At 55.5% G+C, this 21416-nt stretch overlaps 1 protein-coding gene across 3 annotated transcripts in view; it reads left to right on the top strand.

The window, feature by feature from the left end:
• The window catches only part of NFAM1 (NFAT activating protein with ITAM motif 1), a 57580-nt gene that overhangs the window by 19141 nt on the left and 17023 nt on the right, over positions 1-21416 (top strand). For 2 of the 3 annotated variants that reach the window (NM_001371362.1, NM_145912.8), the window contains 3 exons: positions 7110-7439; positions 9299-9411; positions 20890-20988. In NM_001371362.1, coding sequence (NP_001358291.1) covers positions 7145-7439; positions 9299-9411; positions 20890-20988 — 507 coding nt within the window. In that variant the 5' untranslated portion in view covers positions 7110-7144. The remainder of the gene's footprint in view (positions 1-7109; positions 7440-9298; positions 9412-20889; positions 20989-21416) is intronic. The other variant, NM_001318323.3, reaches the window with a different exon arrangement.

The raw sequence follows: 21416 nt of genomic DNA, 5'->3' as shown, positions 1-21416 counted from the left end.
GGGACAGGGACAGTGCCCAAGTCTGGGTCAGGGAAAGACCCCTGGGGGTCCTTCTGTGCCTGGACCATCAGGGCCTATGTGCCCTGCACTGAGGGCATGTCATTTAACCCGGCAGAAGGGTATAGGGCTGGCATTTGCCTTTTAAAAAAAAAAAAAACAGAGATAGCTCTTGTCACCCAGGCTGGAGTGTAGCAGTGCGATCTCGGCTCACTGCAATCTCCGCCTCCTGGGTTCAAGCGATTCTCTTGCCTTACCCTCCCAAGTATCTGAGACTATAGGCTTGTGCCACTACACCCAGATACTTTTTTGTATTTTTAGTATAGAAGGGGTTTCACCATGTTGGCCAGGCTGGTCTTGAACTTCTGACCTCATGTGATCTGCCTGCCTCGGCCTCCCAAAGTGCTGGGGTTAATAGGCATGAGCCACCACACCCAGCTGGGATTTGCCTTTGTAGATCCCCAAGGAGGACTCCCTGTCTCATTCTTGTCCCTGGGGAAAGGCAGCCTGGCCCGTGGCAAGTAGCTGGGTTCCAGGTCCCAATTAATCCCACCACAACCCCTTAAGGCTGGCATTGTTGCTCCCCCTGTGTTGTGGGGAGACACTGAGGTCAGAGAAGTAAAGCCAGCTGCCCAAGTTGCACAGCCTTGAAGTGGCAGAGCCAGGAGCCGCATCCAGGCCTGTTGCCTCCAGAACCTGGGCTTTTCCCAAACGCCCCCGCTCATCGCCCCTATTTCTGGCCAGGCCCAAGGCTTCCTCACAGTGTGGGAGGGACTTCCCTGGAGCTGCAGAGAAGTGAGGGATGGAGGGTGTGTCACCCCCCAAAACACAGTCTCCTGTAAAGCAGGGTGGGCAGACTAAGCAGGGATCCACGGCGCTGCCCAGATGAGATGTCTGCGCTTGCAGTTCTGTGGGGGTGGGGAGGCACAGGAGAGGAGTTGAAGACTCAAAACAAACAGCCAAGCCCGGGGACGGGGCGGGGGCCCTCCCAGACACCGTGTGGCAACCCTGCCTCTGATGGCCCTGCTGCCCTCCTGCTCCACCCCTCCTCCCCCATGGTCCTCACTATGGGTGCCCTCTCCCCTCTCCCTGCACCATCCTATCCACATTCAGCAGGTTCAAGAAGCTCCTGTTCAGAAAACTCCCCCTGGGCCAAACTCCCTGCCCCTGCAGCAGGGCAGGCCAGGCAGGAGAGTTCAGGTCCTCACCAGCCCCTCCTCACTCTCTGCCCCAACTCTGCCCTCCCTGAGCCTCAGGGGTGCTCCTTGCAGCCACCTCCAGGCCCCGCTCTCCACAGGGCAAATCTCAAATCCTCCTAAACTCTCTAAGTGGAAGGGAAGTTCTCAAATCCGTTCCCTGCACAGAAAACACCTGGGGCTCCTTGAGACGTTTCCTCCCTGCGCCCCAGGACCTGTTCCAGCTCTGCCTGCCCCAGATCCCATGGGACCTGGAGAATAACCAGAAAAGCAGCTGGGAGCAGCTCCTGGGCCCTCTAGGCCCCTTGGTGCTGGGGGATTTCTCCTGGCAAAACTCAGCTCCTCTGGTCACTCTAAGTCAAAGTTCTATGGTCACCGAAAGTCACAAATGCGTCCCAGTTCTTCACATCTCTAACCCTGTGTAACAGACAAAACTTCAAACTCTAAAGCTGAAGTGGTTCCCCAGGCCACCTGAAGCCTGTGTGAGGGTGAGGGGCGAGGTGCCTCTTCTCTTTCCCACCCAGACCCCTTCCTTGTCCGTCCCCACCGGTCAACCTGGGTGGAGGCAGAAAAGACCTGCCTTGTCAGGTGCGGGGGAGGCTGGCCCTGGGCTCTGCGTGCTTGCGGTGTTGCGTGGAGTCCGTTGGGGCCCCCACGGAAGTGGGGGATTGCTAACTGGAATTCTGTGGCTCTCACTCCCTCCTCAGCCCCCGGCGTCTGGTATCCACCCTGGTCTTCCTCTCCAGGCCGTGGGCCCCTCTAGGCAGCTGCATGAGCCAGTCTAGAAGGACACTCAGCCAGCTCACTGCCCCGGACCACGTTATCCCATGGGGACATACTGCCTTTGCCAGAAAAGGGACAAAGCATGATGCAGCCACACCACGCCCTGGCATGAGATAGATAGCGGCCGAGTGCCCTCACTCAGGGAATACTGCTCAAGTTCAGCCAGGGTCCCGCTAAAGCCCCTCTCAGCCTGGGGTGAGAAGCAGGCACCCCCGGGGCAGGCCGGATGCCCTGCAGCTCTCCCCAGCCCCCTCTACACCCACCTTCTGTGACCCCGTGGTCTCCATGTGATCCTGGAGCCAAGTAGCCACTTGTTGGCCATCTGGTGGTGAAAATTTGTGAGGCCCACCAGGGTTCTGACAAACCTCTTATTAGCATCTGATGGCTACTGTGCCCAGTGCCAATGTGAGCACCCCCTGCCATATCTGATGACAGCTTCCCAGCCTGGGTGCTGGCTCTTCTTCCTCAACACAGCCAGACCAACTGGGGTCCGAAGCCTGGCCCCACCACTCATGATCTCTGTGGTTTTGGGCCTTTAAGATCCTCTGCTTTTTGGTTTTGGTTTTGAGATGGGATTTCACTATGTGCTCAGGCTGGTCTCAAACTCCTGGGCTCAAGCGATCCTCCTGCTTCGACTTCCTGAGTAGCTGGAACTACAGGCGTGTGCCACCACTCCTAGCTAGACCCGCTCCAGAACGCGGTTGCAATAGTTGCCGCCTAGGATCGTCGTGGTGTTTAATTGACATAGGACCTGTGTCACACCAAGCCAGGATACAATTCCTGTAATTTTTCTTTTCCTTCTGTCTGTGGGTTCCTACTTCTGGGTCATGGACACCCTCTAGACCCCCGGGCCACAAACCCTGCACCCCAACCTCATCCCAGGCAAACTCAATGCTCCCCATACCAGCCCTTCTGCCTCAGGCTCTTTCTGCTCCTTCCCTTTTGGACTGGGGATGTTGCCACGGCAGGGAGCCCCTCCTGGTCTGGGACAGGGCCTGTGACCTAACTGGTACCCCTTCAATGTTTGTGGGAGGCACAAACAAATGACAGCTGAAAAGAATTTGTGGACTTGGAAATGACCGTGAAACCTATCAGCACTGTGCCTTCACGGGGGACCGCTTCTAGTTGGCAGCCAACTAGGGCCTAGACCTCTACAGCCTACACCCCTGAAGGGGCCTCTGGGAGGCACGGGTCCAGGAGATGGGGTGGGAGCTGGGCAGTTGCAGGATTCCAGCTCTGGGGTGCTGATGCCCCATTGAAAGGAAGGTGCAGGCCGGGCGCGGTGGCTCACGCCTGTAATCCCAGCACTTTGGGAGGCCGAGGTGGGCAGATCACGAGGTCAGGAGATTGAGACCATTCTGGCTAACACGGTGAAACCCCGTCTCTACTAAAAATACAAAAAATTAGCCAGGCATGGTGGCGGGTGCCTGTGGTCCCAGCTGCTCGGAAGGCTGAGGCAGGAGAATGGCGTGAACCCAGGAGGTAGAGTTTGCAGTGAGCTGAGATCGCGCCATCGCACTCCAGCCTGGGCGACAGAGCGAGACTCCATCTCAAAAAAAAAAAAAAAAAAAAAAAGAAAGAAAGAAAGAAAGGAAGGTGTAGGTGCAGGGGAGGTGGTGAGCTACATTCGCAGGCCAGAACCCAGAGGTCTTGGCTGTAACTGCGGACCTCCTCTCCTCCCCCGGGTTTTTTGGCCTGACGTCTCCAGACTGGACGTTGTTATTGACTGAGCTCGTCAGAGACGGCTTCCTCTCTTTACTTTTTGGACACAGCAGTTTCATCAGAGGTCTGAGGTTCTCGTTTCGAAGCCTCTCCTCGCTGTGGCTGATCTAAGCCAGAGCAGTGCATTGTCATGAGCCTAACTCGGTGACCTTAAAGAAATGAATCCCAAAAGAATATAGAACAACGGACGTCTGTTTTTATAGATTTCCCTGGAATTGTAAAGATCGGCTTAATTGCAGTAGCAGAGTTCATCATTTTCTAGAAGGATACCTCAGACAGGGAGAATTTTTAAAGAAATTGGTCTGAAGTCTTCCTGCCCAGGACAAGCAGGAAGGTTTCATGGTGCTGACAGTGTATCTGCCCTCCCCCTGGAGTGGCCTCTTAGATACACTGTGAGGAGGAGCAGGAGGCCCCGGGTGAGGATATGGAGGTCACAGGTCGAGGGGGCCACAGGGTAGGTACACAGAGGGGGCAGTGGCCTGTGAGTGCTGTGCAGGGCTGCTGGGCAGGGTCGGTGGTGATGTCATTTGTGGTTCACTCTACCCCTCTTGTCTCTAAAAAAAAATTTTTTTAATTTAAAAAAAAAAAAATTTGATGCCCAGGCTGGCCTTGAACTCCTGGCTTCAAGAGGTCCTTCTGCTTTGGCTCCTGAGTAGCTGGGATTACAGACACGCGCCACCATCCCAGCCCACCTGGGTCCCTGGGGGACAATATAACAGCCCCCATCTCTATATGCCTACCCTGCCCCTGTCCCATCTCGGATAAGTCCGTGCCCTGAAGCAAGGCTCTTAGTTTTATGACAAAATGAATGTAATGTTATCATTAAACAGCAGCAATCCTGCAGTAGAGTCCGGAGATACAAAGTCCAGGGTAAAATCCCCCCTGCTCCGTCCACCAGAGGGGAGCCCTGGAGGGGGCCCGGGTGCCAGCTCCCTGGAATGACATTTCACAAGCGAGTGTCGTTATGTCAATTACAAGTCGAACCCACTGTGACTGCCGACATGTGAGTCGATTCCCTGGAACTGTGAGTGCCTTTAGTTCTTTGAGGGAGGGTGTGTCTCTCTTTTTCTTTCTTTCTTCTTTTTGTTTTTTTTGAGACGAAGTCTTGCTCTGTCATTCAGGCTGGAGTGCAGTGGCGCGATCTTGGCTCACTGCAACCTCCACCTCCCAGATTCAAGCGATTTTCCTGCCTCAGCCTCCTGAGTAGCTGGGATTACAGGTGCCCACCACCACACCTGGCTAATATTTTTATTTTTAGTAGAGACGGGGTTTTGCCATGTTGGCCAAACTGATCTTGAACTCCTGACCTCAAGAGATCTGCCCACCTTGGCTTCCCAAAGTGCTGGGATTACGGGCATGAGCCAACAGCCCTGGCCAAATTTTTGTTGTTGTTGTTATTATTGTTGTTATATAGATGAGGGCTTTCTGTGTTGTCCAGGCTGGTCTCAAATGCCTGGCCTTGCCTTCTTATGTGACAGGACAACAGGCCTGAGCCACCGCGGCTCCTGATTTTTTTTTCTTTTTTTGTATTTTTAGTAGAGGCGGGGTTTCACCATGTTAGCCAGGCTGGTCTCGAACTCCAGGCCTCAAGCAATCCACCCGCCTCGGCCTCCCAAAGTGCTAGGATTACAGGCATGAGCCACCCTGCCCAGCCTGGGGGTGTCTCTTTAGTGGCTCAACAGGAAGCTCAAAATATCAGCATTGCCAGAATTTTGAGGGATTAACTGACGCACAGGGCCAACTCCATCTCTGTTCCCGCATCTTCCAGAAGGCTGGCCTCCCTTTGGGACCCCCTTCCCAGAGCTCTGGCTCAGAGCTGAACTGAAGAGACCTGGGAAGAGATGAGCCTGGCCTCCCTCCAGCCCCACACCACAGGCAGGGCCCACACCTCTCTTTCCCCAATAAAATAAATCTTGCGGCTCCTCTGAGCATCTCAAAGACACGATCTTCTCCCGATTAACAATCCGGCCTGCATGTTCTTGGCTGCTGGCTGCCGACCTCAATTTAGAACTGTCTGCTGCTCAGCTGCTGGAGAAGGAGGGGCCTGGAGAACCCAGGAGCGCTAAAGCCGAGGGGCCTGTGCAGCTGAAGTCTGGGGCAGGGGGCGGCTGCTGCCCCCAGCCCAGGATCCAAACAGCATCTCAGAGGCCTGCAGCAGGGGTTAGAGCCCCCCAGGCAGGGCTGCTGCTTTGGGAATTTTCAAACTGTTTTCTGAGGTGCCTCTGATGAGTGGGGGGAGGGGTGGCTCCTACAAAACTGGCTTTGTCATGGTCATTGACATCATGATCACAGCCGAAATGGCCCCACGTGGAGCACCTCTGCGTTGTTGGAAAAACTGCTCTCAGGATGTTGCCTGTTATACTGTAAAAAACCTGACAAATCCTCTCCGAGCCCAGAGTCCGGGAGAGGTTTGTGTCTCCCGCTGCCTGAATGCCTCCTTACTTTGGCACGGGGAGAACTGTGGGCAGACCTGCCTCCCTCTCTGTCTACCGCCAGGAAACGCTTGGGTTTCTTTATTTTGTTTTCCTGCCTCCTTCTTTATTTCTCATCCATCACCAGCTTTCTCTCTTCTCAGGCCTGTGCTTTGATCCCAGGTGGCCTCTTGGCCTTTGGGAAGAAGAGGGGTTGGGAGCGCAGGCTCTGGTGTTCCCCAGCCCTGGATGGGGTTGTAGCTCCACTCTCTACCTGCTGAGGAATCTGGAGCTAAGTGCTTCAACTCCCTGACCCTCAGACTCTTCTTCTTCATAAAACAGGGGCTCTCACTTTGCCTTGGGGTATATTAGGAGAGGTAGAGTGGTGTGCGTAATATGCTTGGCACAACTCCGGCACACAGCAAGTGCAGGAGAGGTAGGGGCTGCACCTGCAGAGGTAAGCTCACACGATGCACGAGACTTGTCTTTCTTTTTTTTTTTTCTGAGACGGACTCTTGCTCTTGTCGCCCAGGCTAGAGTGCAGTGGCATGATCTCTGCTCACTGCAACCTCAGCCTCCCAGGTTCAAGCGATTCTCCTGCGTCAGTCTCCCGAGTAGCTGGGATTACAGGCATACACTACCACACCTGGCTAATCTTTGTATTTTTAATAGAGACAGGTTTTGCCATGTTGGCCAGGCTGGTCTCAAACTCCTGACCTCAGGTGATCGGCCCACCTTAGCCTCCCAAAGTGCTGGGGTTATGGGCATAAAAAAGTTAGCCTGGCTAATTTTTGTATTTTTAGTAGAGACGGGGTTTCACCATGTTGGCCAGGCTAGTCTTGAACTCCTGACCTCCAGTGATCCGCCTGCCTCGGCCTCCCAAAGTGTTGGAATTACAGGTGTGAGCCACCGCACCCGGTCGTGAGCCTTAACAGGCAAGTGGGTGGGACTGAGGCAGCCTCAAGTGACCTGTTGCTCTCTCCCTTTGCTTCCCCTCCAGGAGGACAGTCAGTGACCCACACCGGCCTGCCCATCATGGCCTCCCTGGCCAACACAGCTATCTCCTTCAGCTGCAGGATCACCTATCCATACACTCCCCAATTCAAGGTTTTCACAGTCAGCTACTTTCATGAAGATCTCCAGGGACAGAGGAGCCCTAAGAAGCCAACAAACTGCCACCCTGGACTGGGCACAGAGAACCAGAGCCACACCCTGGACTGCCAGGTCACCCTTGTGCTGCCGGGAGCATCGGCCACTGGCACCTACTACTGCTCTGTCCACTGGCCACACTCCACGGTGAGAGGCAGCGGCACCTTCATCCTGGTCAGAGGTAAGGCTTCCTCTGTGGCTCTTCCAGGGCAAAGGACACAGAGGTTTCAAATGGCAGTTTGGGACTTTGGATCGGAAATAGAGAATGGGGCCAGGCGCAGTGGCTCACACATCCCAGCACTTTGGGAGGCTGAGGCGGGTGGATCACCTGAGGTCAGGGATTCGAGACCAGCCTGGCCAACATGGTGAAACCCCGTCTCTACTAAAAACACAAAAATTAGCTGGGCATGGTGGCAGGTGCCTGTAATCCCAGCTACTCAGGAGGCTGAGGCATAAGAATTTCTTGAACCCAGGATGGGAAGTTGCAGTGAGCCTAGATCGCACCATTGCACTCCAGCCTGGGTGACAAGAGCAAAACTCCATCTCAAAAAAAAAAAAAAAAAAAAAAGAAAAGAAAAGAAATAGAGAATGGTTTGCCTTGTCTACCAGCATTGGCAAAGCAGGCAGACCCACTTCAGGGAGCCCCGGCCTACGGCTGTGCCAGGGCTCCATCTGGGTGTGGAAAGGGCAGGGCCGGGCATGCAGATCTGCTCCTGAACGCCGCTGGCAGGTGACCTAAAAGAGCTCCCTTGGGCCCTTGGTCTCAGTGTGCCATGGGCATCATGGTGGGGGAACTTCTGCAGAACTAGGTATGTGCATGTATGTATTTGTGGGGGCCTCGTGTATGTGAGCACTTGGCTCATGTATAATACACCTTTCCAGAGACAGATCTTTAGTTTTCATCATGCTCTCTCTTTTTTTTTTTTTTTGAGACAGAGTCTCGCTCTGTCACCCAGGCTGAAGTGCACTGGCCCAATCTTGGCTCACTGCAATCTCTGCCTCCTGGGTTCAAGCGATTCTCATGCCTCAGCCTCCCAAGTACCTGGGATTACAGATGTCCACCACCACACCTGGCTACTTTTTGTATTTTTAATAGAGACAAGATTTCGCCATGTTGGCCAGGCTGGTCTCGAATCCTGACCTCAAGTGATCCGCCCACCTCAGCCTCCAAGAGTGTTGGGATTACAGGCATGAGCCAGCACACCCAGCCAGTTTTCATCACATTCTCAAAGGAGTGATGATCCCAAAAGTTATGAGTGAGCCCATCACCAAAGCCCTGATTCTCTGACCTACCTCTGCGATCCCCTGGAAGGAGCTGGGGGCTTCGGAATCCCATAGACCTGGGTTTGAACCTCTGTCCTGCTGCTTGCCCGATGTGATCTTGGGCCTGGTCTTCATGGCGATCCTCTGCCTTCCAAGGACTTGGATGAGGTTGAAGGAGATGGTGCCCATATGGGCTGGTGGCTGACAATAGGCAGTGCTGGGGAAATCATGCTCATGTGCCTGGCATGTGGTTGGCACTCCGTGTGTTTTTGCCAGTCGGATGGATGGATGGGGTGAGGGGAAGGAGGACTGGATGCCAGCAGGAGGGACTGGGGATGGCATGGGGTAGGAGGGCTGGGCCTCACCTAGCCTGGGTGCAGCCCCCTGTCAGTCCCAGGATAAATCCGCCTCCTTCAGCCCTAGCCACATCCACCCGTATTATCACCACCTCACACAGGGAAAAGAAGAGGCCCCGAGAGGGGAGACATCTCGCTCAGGGCCCTACAAGCAGCCCACAGGGGAGCCAGGTCACGGGGGCAGGGGCACCGGAAGAGCAAATGGCCCCTGTCCTTACAGAGAAGCAAGGCAGTGAGCATGAAAAGGAGTGAGGGGACAATGAAGGCCCGAACCCTGGCTCCCAGGGGGCCTAGTGGGGTGTGGAGCGTGTTGGCGGGGTAGCATTGAAAACAGGGTCCTGAGTGAGGGAGAACATCAGGTGTGTGTGCCCCGCTTTCTCCTGGGTCACTGACCCCTCTGCTCCCCTGCGCTTCCTCCTAGACGCAGGGTACCGAGAGCCCCCGCAGAGTCCACAGAAGCTCCTGCTCTTTGGCTTCACCGGCCTCCTGAGTGTCCTGAGTGTAGTGGGCACGGCCCTGCTGCTCTGGAACAAGGTACGGGATCAGTGCTCACAGCCATGCAGCCCCTCCACCCGACACGCCACCGGCTGCCCGCCTGCCCTCTGCAGGGCGTTTGGTGGGCCCTGGTGAGGGCACATCCACATCTGTAACAGGTGGCCCTCGTGGCCCCTTGCACCAGGGCTGGGGGCATCCCTCCTGTGCCACTCCCTGTGCTGCCATGGGGTGCCTTTTGATCTTGTTGCAAGAAACCAGGGCTCTGCAGGCTTTCCCAGGTCCCATGTCCCTCTGAGAACCTGGGAGAGGCTGCAGGCCCTCCTGCCTACCATTTCTAGCTCCCCAGATTAGGGAATCCCTGCTCAGGTTTTCTTGATCCCAGCAGGCTGGAAGGGATGAAGGGGCTACCAGCCACTCACACAGGTGCTCTCCCACACACCCTCCCACTCGCCCTCTCGCACGCCCTCCAGCAACCCTCCCACACACCCTCCCACACACCCTCCCAAACACCCTCCAGCATAGCTCCATGACGAGGTTTTTTCCCATTTCACAGCTCTGGAAGGTCAGGCTCAGAGACGTTGTGATTTGCCCAGGGTCGCATAGTAAGTGTACTGCAGTCAGGGCTAGAGTGCAGGATGGGGTGGCTTGGTCCATTTCCTCACCTGGACGGCTCCTGCTCACACTGTGGGTGGCACCTGCCTGGGGAGGGAACCTCTCTGCTGGGGCTCCCCTCATGCTCATCATCACCCAGCCCTATGGATTCCTGTTCGATGCTGGCCCACCCTCCCTGCCTGGCAGCAAGTGCCAGGAGGCCAGAGGCCGAGGCAGTCTTGTTCAGGGGCTCCTTGCCCAGCACATGGTGGTGCTCAGACAGCATGCTGAGTGAAAGGATGCAGTGCCCAGCGGGTACCAGGTTCTCCCAGGCTCAGGGGTGCAAAGCTGATGGGTCAGGGCTCGTCAGAGGCTGCTGTTAGCAGCTCAGGCTACTGCTCCACCCTCCGGGGACCTTCGGGGCCAAGCCTGGGGGCAGCTGAGTCAGCAACAGCCCTGGGTGTGAGGCGTGAACACTGGCACCATCATTGGGGTCTCCCTGGGTCAAAAAAGGCTCAGCCCCTGCATCTGAAGGCCAAGACCCTACCCACACCCAGAGAAGAGCTCTCTTCCACGGGAATTTATGTGTTCATTCATTCAACAAACACTGAAAACCTACATTCCAGGCCCTGTTCTAGGCACCAGGGATACAGCAATGACCAAACTGAAATCAAGAAATCTCTATCTGAGGCTGAGCACGGTGGCTCATGCCTGTAATACCAGCACTTTGGGAGGCCGAGGTGGGTGGATCACTTGAGGTCAGGAGTTCGAGACCAGCCTGGCCAACATGGCAAAATCCCATCTCTACTAAAAATACAAAAATTAGCTGGGTGCATTGGCAGGTGCCTGTAATCCCAGAGGCTGAGGCAGGAGAATTGCTTGAACCTGCGAGGCGGAGGTTGTAGTGAGATTACACTACTGCACTTCAGCCTGGGTGACAAAGCAAGACTAAGTCTCAAAAAAAAAAAAAAAAAAAAAAGAGAAATCTGTCTGCCAGGTATGGTGGCTCACACCTGTAATTCCAGCACTTTAGAAGACTGAGGCAGGAGGATTTCCTGAGCTTAGGAGTTCAATATCAGCGTGGGTAACAGAGAGAGACCCCATCTCTACAAAACATTTTAAAAAATTAGCCAGTCATGGTAGCATGCACCTGTGGTCCTGGGCTACTTGGAAGGCTGAGGTGGAAGGATCGCTTGAGCCCAGGAGGTCAAAGCTGCAGTGAGCTGTGATCACACCACTGCACTCCAGCCTGAGCGACAGAGGGAGACCATCTCAAAAAAGAAAGAAAGTTTGAGACCAGCCTGACCCCCGTGGTGAAACCCCATCTCTACTAAAAATACAAAAACATTAGCCAGGTGTGGTGGTAGGCGCCTGTAATCCCAGCTACTTGGGAGGCTGAAGTGGGAGAATTGCTTGAACCCGGGAGGTGGAGGTTGCAGTGAGCTGAGATCACACCAGTGCACTCCAGCCTGGGCGACAGTCTCAAGAAAAATAAATAAAAGGCTGGGTGCGGTGGCTTATGCTTGTAATCCTGGCACTTTGGGAGGCCGAGACAGGCGGATCACTTGAGGCCAGGAGTTCAAGACTAGCTTGGCCAACATAGCAAAACCCCATCTCTACTAAAAATACAAAAACTAGCTGGGTATTGTGGCACATGCTTGTCATCCCAGCTACTCAGGAGGCTGAGGCAGGAGAATAGCTTGAACCCAGGAGGCAGAGATTTTAGTGAGTTGAGATGGCGCCACTGCACTCCAGCCCCTGGGCAACACAGCGAGACTCCATCTAAAAAAAAAAAAAAAAAGAGGAAGGTCCGGGTGCGGTGGCTCATGCCTGTAATCCCAGCACTTTGGGAGGCCGAGGCAGGCAGATCACAAGGTCAGGAGACCGAGACCATCCTGGCTAACACAGTGAAACCCTGTCTCTACTAAAGATACAAAAAATTAGCCGGGTGTGGTGGTCACACGCCTGTAGTCCCAGTTACTTAGAAGCCTGAGGCAAGAGAATCACCTAAACCTGGGAGGTGGAGGTTGCAGTGAGCCGAGATGGCACCACTGCACTCCAGCCTGGGCGACAGAGTGAGACTCTGTCTCAAAAAAAAAGGAAAAAGAAAAGAAAGGAAATCTGTTTTCATTAAATTGGCATTCCTGTTGAGGCGAGACCGACGATGCACCACCCAGTGAGTAGGTCGTATATATCAGATGGGATAATTATTGGGGGAAACTCAGCAATGTGAAGGGAGGTCGGCATGGGAATGGAGAAGCACCTGGAATGAGGGAGGCAGGTGCACATCAGGGCTGGGCGTGCCAGTGGGAGAATAGTGGATGCAGGTGCTCTGAGGCAGAAGCGGGCATGGGGTGTCCCAGGAGCTGCATGGGGGCCCATGTGGCTGGTGTAGCCTGAGCTCACAGAGAGTAGACGGATGGGAAGTGGAAGGAGATGCAGCCAGGTAGGGGGCATTGAAAGGACTTTAGCCCTTACTCTATGTGATACAAGGAAGGGGGTGAGATCAGACCTAGATTCTGATGGACCCTCTGTCTGAGTGAGGGACACCCAGTGAGGAGCTACTGCAAAGTCCAGGCAGAGATGACAGGAGCCGGGATCAGGGTGGCCTCAGGGAAGTGGTGAGCAAAGCAGATGAAAGGCTGGAAGCGGACCCAAAGGGACTCGCGCAAGTGGTTTGCTCTGCTCCCTCGGGGGGTGAGGCGCGAGCCGGGGGGTATTTGGATCTGCGCCTGCCCCGCAGGTGTCAGGTGAGCTGTGGACTGGAAGAGCAGGCGAGGAAGCTGAAGGTCAGAGCGTGCCTGAGCCAGAGCAAGTGGCAGGCCTGGGTCTGGAGCCCGTGCCTTAGTTTCCCATCCTTGTCTTGAGGCTGGGGATGTCATCGCTTTTCCAAGAAGGCTCTGAGGTACGAAAAAAGCATGAGCTTGGCGCCTTTCACCCCCGGGAGCCCCAGGGGCTGCATTTCCTGCCTTCTGTGAGCCAACGTCTGGGTCAGGGCCTCAGCCACGATGCTGGCTCCCCTCCTTCCCATGGGTCTGACACTGGCGCGAATGGTCCTACTTTGACCTTGCCCTGTTAATGAGCTTCAGGGTGAAGTGAGTCGCAGGCCTTGGGTACCACTGTGAAGTCCAGGAGGGCTCTGTGCTCCGCCTTGACTCCAGCCCAGCCAGAGGGATGAGCTGAGCCAAGAAGACCCGAGATGGGTGGGAAACACTTCCTTCAGCTTTCATGAGCCCAGGGTTAGGATGGAGACCCACTGGCTTCAGGCTGCCTCCCTCCCCAAGCCAGCACGAGTATGCACCTGCCATGTGCCCGGCCTGGGCCTTTCTTGCACGCCCCCGACTCTCGCCCTCAATATATGCCCTCCCTCCCTGCTTCGGCTTTTCCCATGATGATAGCAAGTAGGGTATCTCTCGATTTGTTCACTACCGAGCAGTCCCCAGGCACTCGAAATGAGGCCAGGGGAGGAGCTGGGGCGTGGACACAGAAACTGGGCTTCAGGCACAGGTGACAAGGGACTCCCCCCGCCTGCGGACCCCCACCCAGGCTTACAGGAGTGACCCACACAAGTGCCCTCTGTGTACACGAAACACAGTAGGCAAGGAACAGAACGGGGCCAGGCGAGATCTTAACCTTGAGCCCCCCATTTGCTGAGCAACGTCAGCTCCTGCCCTACAAAGATGGGACCGGACCGTAGAAACTGGATCACAGTATTAGTAAAGGAGGGGACAAAGCTCAGAGCCCTGGGCTTGAGTTCTGGTCCCTGCTCCCTCCCCTCCAGGATGGCCTCAGTGACTCCTGCCTTCCTCTTCCTCCTCTCACCACCCTGCCTGTGCTTCCAGGAATGTCTGCAAAGTGTCTCGTGTGTGCCATCACTAGGCTAAGTGCCAACAGGGTGAAAGCAAGCCCTCTTGTCAGGTTTGGATCCTCTCTGAGCCTCAGTTTCCTCCTCTGGAAATGGGATAAGGAGGGTAGACCCTGCCCACTAAGTGAACATGGAAGGAGAGCACTTTTTTTTTTTTTTTTTTTTGAGATGGAGTTTTACTCTTTGCCTAGGCTGGAGTACAATGGTGCGACCTTGACTCACTGCACCTCCGCCTCTCAGATTCAAGTGATTCTCCTGCCTCAGCCTCCCAAGTAGCTGGGATTACAGACGTGCGATACCACGCCTGGCTAATTTTGTATTTTTAGTAGAGACTGGGTTTCACCATGTTGGCCAGGCTGGTCTCAAACTCCTGACATCAGGAGATCTGCAGGAGAGCACTTCTGAAGCACCAGTTGGGTGCCTGACACACAGCAGAAGCTTTCTGCTGCCCACACACCCTCTGTACCTGGGGAGAACGGCTGATGTGAGAGCCTGGGCTGGAAGGGAAAGAGAACCCGGAGGCCAGAGCAGCTGCTGCGTTTGCATTGCTAAAGCAGCCCTGGGAGCCCCTGGTTCGCTGTGGATGCCCCTGATGGCAGCGGCAGGATGGGGTAAGGAGAGAGTCCAGGAGAAAGAGGCTCCCTCCAGGCACAGAGGACCCGGGAGCACCTGCAGTGGTGGATAAATGAATTGAAGCTGGAAACTACCAACCAGAAGTGGCAGAGGGTGGACCCGAACCGCGGTTGGCAGCTTTGGGGACAGTGAGGACAAAGAGCAGAGTGTGCGACTCCACTGGGGCAAGTCTGGAAGAATGGCATTGCCTCCCGGGGCAATGCCTGCACCTGACTTCTGCAAAGGCCAGCAGGGAGGGCACGGAGCTCACACCCCCGGGAAGATGGGAGCTGGAGGGTGGTAAGAACTGGTGATGCATGAAGTCTGCCCGGAGGGGCTGGGGCAGGAGGGATGGGGGTAGAGCCCAGGAATGGATGACCCACAGGTGGCACAGTCAGCCCTGCCCGCAGGCCCTTCAACAGCAGAGGCTTCCCAGGCCCTCCTTGTTCTCTGTATTTCGGCACCTGGGATCCCTCCCAGAGATCTCCTTCTTTGCTTTCTGGATCCAGCTCCCATGTACCCAGCTCAGAGAGGCCCTCTCTGACACCATGGCTTTCTTCCCTGACACCTCTTTTGCCTCTGCCCTCGTCATCTGTAGGTCCCCTGAGCTTACTCCATCTCTTCGTCAAGGCCAGCTGTGTGAGGCCGGGTGCCTCTCGGCCTGTTCCCTGCCCAAGCCCCAGCCTCTAGCACAGGTCCCCTGACATAGTAGGCCCTCAATAAACATTTGCTGAAGGGCTTACCATTTATAGGGCCCTTTCACACCTGTCATTAAATTCATTCATTCAGGCTGGGTACAGTGGCTCACGCCTATAATCCCAGCACTTTGGGAGGCTCAGGTTGGCTGATCACCTGAGGTCGGGAGTTCAAGACCAGCCTGGCCAACATGGCAAACCCCCACCTGTACTAAAAATACAAATTAGCCGAGAGGCGGAGGTTGCAATGAGCCGAGATTGCACCACTGCACTCCAGCCTGGGCGACAGAGCTGAGCACCTACTATGTGTCAGGCCCTGTACAGAGGCTGGGAACACAGCAAGCTAAACTCTTAGCTGGGGAGATCAGCTGTTATGCTGTCATGACCTGTTCAGGAAGAAAGGAAGTAGAAATCAGCAGGGGGCTTAAAAGCACAGAGTTGGGCCTTCGTTCAGTTCCAGCTCTGCCACTTACCAACCTCTGCGAGCTTGAGCTGGGTGCTCCAGGCTTCGGTTTCCCCAGTGGGGATGCCAAACAGAGGAGCTGTGTCATGGGGTTGTAGAAGGCACAGAGGGGGCCGGGCGTGGTGGCTCACGACTATAATCCCAACACTTTGGGAGTCCGAGGTGGGTGGTCACAAGGTCAGGAGTTCAAGATCAGCCTGGCCAAGATGGTGAAACCCTGTCTCTACTAAAAATACAAAAAAAAAATTAGCCGGGCATGGTGGTAGGCTCCTGTAATCCCAGTTACTCGGGAGGCTGAGGCAGAGAATTGCTTAAACCTGGGAGGCGGAGGATGCAGTGAGCCTGGATTGCGCTACTGCACTCCAGCCTGGGTGACAGAGCAAAACTCCATCTCAAAAAAAAAAAAAAAAAAAAAAGAAGGCACAGAGGGACCGGTGTGGGTCTGAGGCGCTTTGAGTACCAGGAGAGGTCTCTCTCTTGAGAAGGCAGCAATCGCCATGATTCCTGCCATGAGAGTAGGTTTGGGGGCTCCTGCCTGACTTGAGGGGTCAAAGTGGTGTTCCCAGAGCAGGCGCTCCCTGCGGCTGGCCCGTCCTCATCCTCATCCTCTCATGGCATTGGGCACAGCAGGCCTCCCGCCTCACAGCACACTCCGCCTCTTGGTACCAGGACAACATGCCCTCCTTGTTCTGTCCCACCCCATAGGCAGCTTTGCTGGGTCACCCCCCTCTTGGTGACCTCTAAATTCTGGCACATCCCGGGCCCCTTCCTCCGAGCCCTTCCGCGCTCTGTGTGTGCTCCTGCAGCAAAGTTTCTGCTCTGCGGGTGGCATTCCCTGTCCACAGATGCTGCTGCTCAGACCCCTCCCCAAGCTCCAGACCATGGTCCACAGCCCCACGTGGGGGCCTGAGGGTGCCGCCACCTCATGCGTCCAGAGCAGTGCTCAGTCCCCGAGTCCTCTGCGTCCCAGCACACGTGCTCCAGATGCTCAGGCCCAAGCCTTGGAGTTGTGCTCGGCTCTTCTCTCTCCCCACATCCATCCCTCAGCAAGCCCTGCACTCAGTCTGTCCCGGATCCAGCCCCTTCCCCGGGGCTTCCTAGGCGTCCCAGGCTGGGCTCCATCACCCTCTCCTGGAATATAGGTCTCTGCTGCCACACCCTGGCTTCTGTCACAACCTGGCGTCTGTCTTTATGCTGTCTGTCCTGCCATAGCATAGCCCCTGTAGGCGGGGGACTTAGTGTCCCCAGCACCTGGGGGAGCCTGGCACGCAGTGCATGCTTGTGGAAGGAATGACAGGATAAATGCATGCGAGGACCTGGAAGATAAGGCAGAAGTGGCCAGGATGTGAGGTGGGCAAGGCCACATTATTGCTCCCATTTTACAGAGCAGGAAGCTGAGGCCCAACAGGCTTCCTGAGCTGCTGATGGCAGCACCCCTGGTGTGCACAGCTGGATCTCAGCCCAGGCCTGGTGACTCCCTGTCCCACCACCATCTACTAGGGAGGGGAGACTTGGACCACAGAGAGCTGGGCGTGTTGGGAGAAGCCACACTCGTGATTCATCTGAAAATCACAGTTGAAAGGCAAATGTTGGCCCCGAGGACAGAGCGCTCAGTGGGCAGGGATGGGCAGGGAGCAAAGCAGCCCCACCCCCATAATGTAATGTGAGTTTTCAAGAAGGCTCCCTCCCTCCTCCACGGGACCCCTTGCCCCGGCCCAGCCTCCCCAGCACCCCCAGGAGGCCTCTCTCCTGGAGATCCTGCCTCCTCCCCTTGCCAGCCCCAACCTACAGTCCACCCCGCATCTGTGGCAGCAGAGGGAGGTTTATACAATGCAACTGCAGCCACTTCCCTGGTGGCCCCCACTGCCCTTCGGGTAGACACCATGGCATTTGGCCTTTCGTGGCCCCACCCGTGCCAGCCTGTGGCTCATCTCCTCCTTTCTGTCTAACTGTCCATTCTTCTGTGCATCCATGACACTCCTGCCCCCGAGCTGTTCGCAATGTCTAAGATACCTTCTTAGACTGGGAGAGCTTTGAAGTTCCTCCCGTGTCTTCAGAAGACAGCGCAAGATGGCCCTGAGACGTCTGCTTCAGTCCCCTGCAGACTTGGGGCCCCTTCTTGGGATCCCCAGTGGCACTCACTTCTCTGGCAACCCCATCAGTCTCACTGACAGAGCCTCGAGGCCAGGCGTGGGTCTTGTTCACCACAGGGTCTTCCATGCCCAGCCCAGGCCCAGCGCGTAGGAGGGCCAGGGAGGGACACCAAGAGCTAACTGAGCTCCAGGGACCTTGCTTTCCAGCCCCGGCAGGTCCAAAGAGCTGAGCCCAGGTCAGCCTCGCGGGAGACCCACTGCCCATGAGCTCACATCCTCAGCCCTGGTGGTGTCCAGGTCGGCCAGCTCAGCGAAGAGACAGACACTAGGTCCCCAGCTGCCTTGACAAGAGGAGGCACTGAGGTGCACTGGGGCAGACCACTACCTCTGACTGTGACGGTGCCCTCAAGAAGCAGGTGGTGCAGGGGAGGCAGCCCTGGATTTGAGGACACACATCTGGGTTTGATCCAAGGACAGCCTTTTACCAGCTGGACAAGCCTCAGCTTCCCCCTCCTGTTTTTGTTTTGTTTTGTTTTTGAGATAGAGTCTCACTCTTTTTGCCCAGGCTGGAGTGCAATGGTGCAATCTCAGCTCACTGCAACCTCCACCTCCCAGGTTCAAGCAATTCTCTGCCTCAGCCTCCCGAGTAGCTGGGACTACAGGTGCTCACCACCACACATGGCTAATTTTTGTATTTTTAGTAGAGATGGGGTTTCACTATGTTGGCCAGGCTGGTCTCGAACTCCCGACCTCAAGTGATCCACCCACCTTGGCTTCCCAAAGTGCTAGTATTACAGACATGAACCACTGCACCTGGCCCCCTGTCTGTTAAACGGGCAATTCCATGCCCACCTCCTCTGGCTGTTATGAGAATTAAATGAAAATAAGGACAAGTCCCAGCAGACTTCGTAAACTGTCAAGTGCTACACAGACGCCAGCACTGCTCTGTGTCTGTGAGGCTCACACGTTCTAACTAAGCAGAGGAGTCAAAACTCCAGCTCCTGTCTCGTCAATATCTTGGTGAAACACAGACCTGGATTCAAATCTTGCCTCTGCCACTTCCTGGCTGCGTGGCCTCGGCAAGTCACCTGCCTTCTCTGAGCCTTCACTCCCTCATGTACAGAACAGAGAGGATGGAAAGATTCACCTGCGGTTTGTGGAGGGCGCGTGAGAGAAGGCAGGTCAGGTGTTGAGAACCCTACCTGGCTCCATGCTCTGAGCCATTATGTGCTGTGACTGGGGGTGGCGCCGGCTTCTGCCTGCGAGTTAAGTAGCTCTCAGCAGCTAATCCCGCAGTAAATGGGCTGGGGTTTGGCAGGAGGCCAGGGTTTTTAATTAGCTTCTGCCCTGAGATGAGGCAGTTGTGGCTCCACTGTCAGCAGTGGCCGTGTGGTGCCTGCAATGAGGGGGGATGTCCAGGCCACCTCCCTCTGCCTCCAGAGGGCTGCCTGTACCGCCTCGTGACTCCCCAGCCTTCACCTTCCCAGCAGGCCCGGCCCAGCCTCCACTGTGACCAGCGGGAGCTTTCTCCAGCACAGCTCTGACCCTGGCGCTCCCACTTCGAGCCCTCAGATGTTTCCTATGCTCTTCATGCAGCCAGCACGGCCACGCCACGCCTGCCCCTCCCAGGCAGGCTCCTCTCTCGGGCCACACACTGACCTTCTCTCTCTCTCTCTTTTTTTCTTTCTTTCTTTTTTTTTTTTTTTTTGAGATGGGATCTCGCTCTGTCTCCCAGGCTGGAGTGCAATGGTGTGATCTCGATTTACTGCAACCTCCGCCCCCTGGGTTCAAGCGATTCTCCTGCCTCACCCTCCCGAGTAGCTGGGATTACAGGCGCCCACAACCATGCCCAGCTAGTTTTTATATTTTTAGTAGAGATGGGGTGTTGCCATGTTGGCCAGGCTGGTCTCAAACTCCTGATCTCAGGTGATCCACCCGACTCGGCCTCCGAGTCCCAAAGTGCTGGGATTACAGGCATGAGCCACCGTGCCTGGCCTATGCTGACCTTCTCCACGTGCCTCCAGACCTCCAGGCCTTGGCACCTGCTGTTCCCTCTACCTGAGGCTCCCTCCTCCCTCTTTTGCTAAATGAACTTCTTGCCCTCAGGATTTCACCTTCAATATCGCTTCTGCCCAGTGGGGCATTGGTTTCCTCCTCATGTGCCAGAGGCTCTGTGCCTGGCAATCAACCCACATACCATGTTTCGGCAAAACCACTGGTTCATCCTCCATCTCTTCACTGGTCCCTAAACTCCAGGAGGGTAGGGACGGTGCCCACCTCCTCACACTGCCTGGCTTGCCAGTGCTATCAAGTGTGTGTTGGTTGAGCAAGGGCCTTCTAAGCAGCACCTCCTAAGCACCAGGCACCTACTCCTTGTGCCCTCATTGTAACTTTGCATCAGTCTCACAAAAGAGGGTTATTGCTGAAGAAACCAAGACCCATGGCCGGGTGCAGTGGCTCACACCTGTAATCCCAGCATTTTGGGACGCCAAGGCGGTGGATCACCTGAGGTCAGGAGTTCGAGACCAGCCTGTCCAACATGGTGACACCTCATCTCTACTAAAAATACAAAATTAGCCGGGCGTGGTGGCACACATGCCCGTAGTCCCAGCTGCTCAGGAGGCTGAGGCGGGAGAATCGCTTGAACCCGGGAGGCAGAGGTTGCAGTAAGCTGAGATTGCACCATTGCACCCCAGCCTGGGCAACAGAGTGAGACTCCATCTCAAATAATAATAATAATAATAATAATAATAATAATAATAATAATAATAAATAAAACCAAGGCCCAGAGGGGAACTGGCTCGCTCGAGGCCAGAGCCAGTGACAGCAGAGGAAGACTGGACACTGGACCTGGCTGGCACCACTAGGGGCCCACCCATGGCTGCTGGCTCGGTCCCTGGGGCCCTGCCCCACTGGCACTGGTCCCAGTAGCTTGGGTCCCTACCAGCCAGGTGCTCTGTCCAGGGACATCACCTCGTGTGGGCCTTTTCCATTTCCTGTGTCTCCAGGTGCAGGAATGGCTTGATGCAGGTCTTGTAGGCATTTGCCATGTTTCCCTGGAGAGGGTGAGTGGGAGGGACTGAGTGATGAATCTCTGTGTGACCTCATGACAATCTGCCATCCTTTCCCCTGGGGGGTCTGTGCGGGGAGGAAGACGAGAGCCACTCATCCCTGGCCCTGACTCCTTTCTCCCTACAGAAGCGGATGCGGGGTCCAGGGAAGGACCCCACCAGGAAGTGCCCAGATCCAAGATCTGCCAGCAGCCCCAAGCAGCATCCTTCAGAATCTGTCTACACAGTGAGTCCCGGGGCCCCCGGCTCCCTCCACCTCTTTCAGGCCTTAGGCAGAGTCTGTCTTGTACCAGGGTCTGTCTGGCTCAGTCTTGTACCAGCTGTGTGGACTCTCCTAGCCTCAAGTTCCTCATCTATAAAATGGGGATAACAATTCTTACCTCATGGAATTTCTCTGAAGCTGAAAAGAGATGACACGTGCAGGGCTCCTGGAAGGCATACGAATGTCAGGTGCCCCCCATGCCCTGTTCCCCTCCTTGGCATGGATCCTCATTCTGGGACAAGGGGTAGTGACGGCACAAGTTGGCGAAGAATGAAGAAAGCTCCTTCATCTGACCAAACAGCTCTTACCACTTCCTCCTGTTTTTATTGTATAAACAACAAAAATCACAAAAAGAGGAAGAGGTCAGGCGCCATCCCACGCCCTTAACACAT

Source organism: Homo sapiens, chromosome 22, assembly GCF_000001405.40.
Source record: "Homo sapiens chromosome 22, GRCh38.p14 Primary Assembly".
In the NCBI taxonomy this organism is placed as follows: domain Eukaryota; kingdom Metazoa; phylum Chordata; class Mammalia; order Primates; family Hominidae; genus Homo; species Homo sapiens.
Note: the sequence above shows the minus strand (reverse complement) of the source record. Positions and strands in the feature narration are given on the sequence as shown.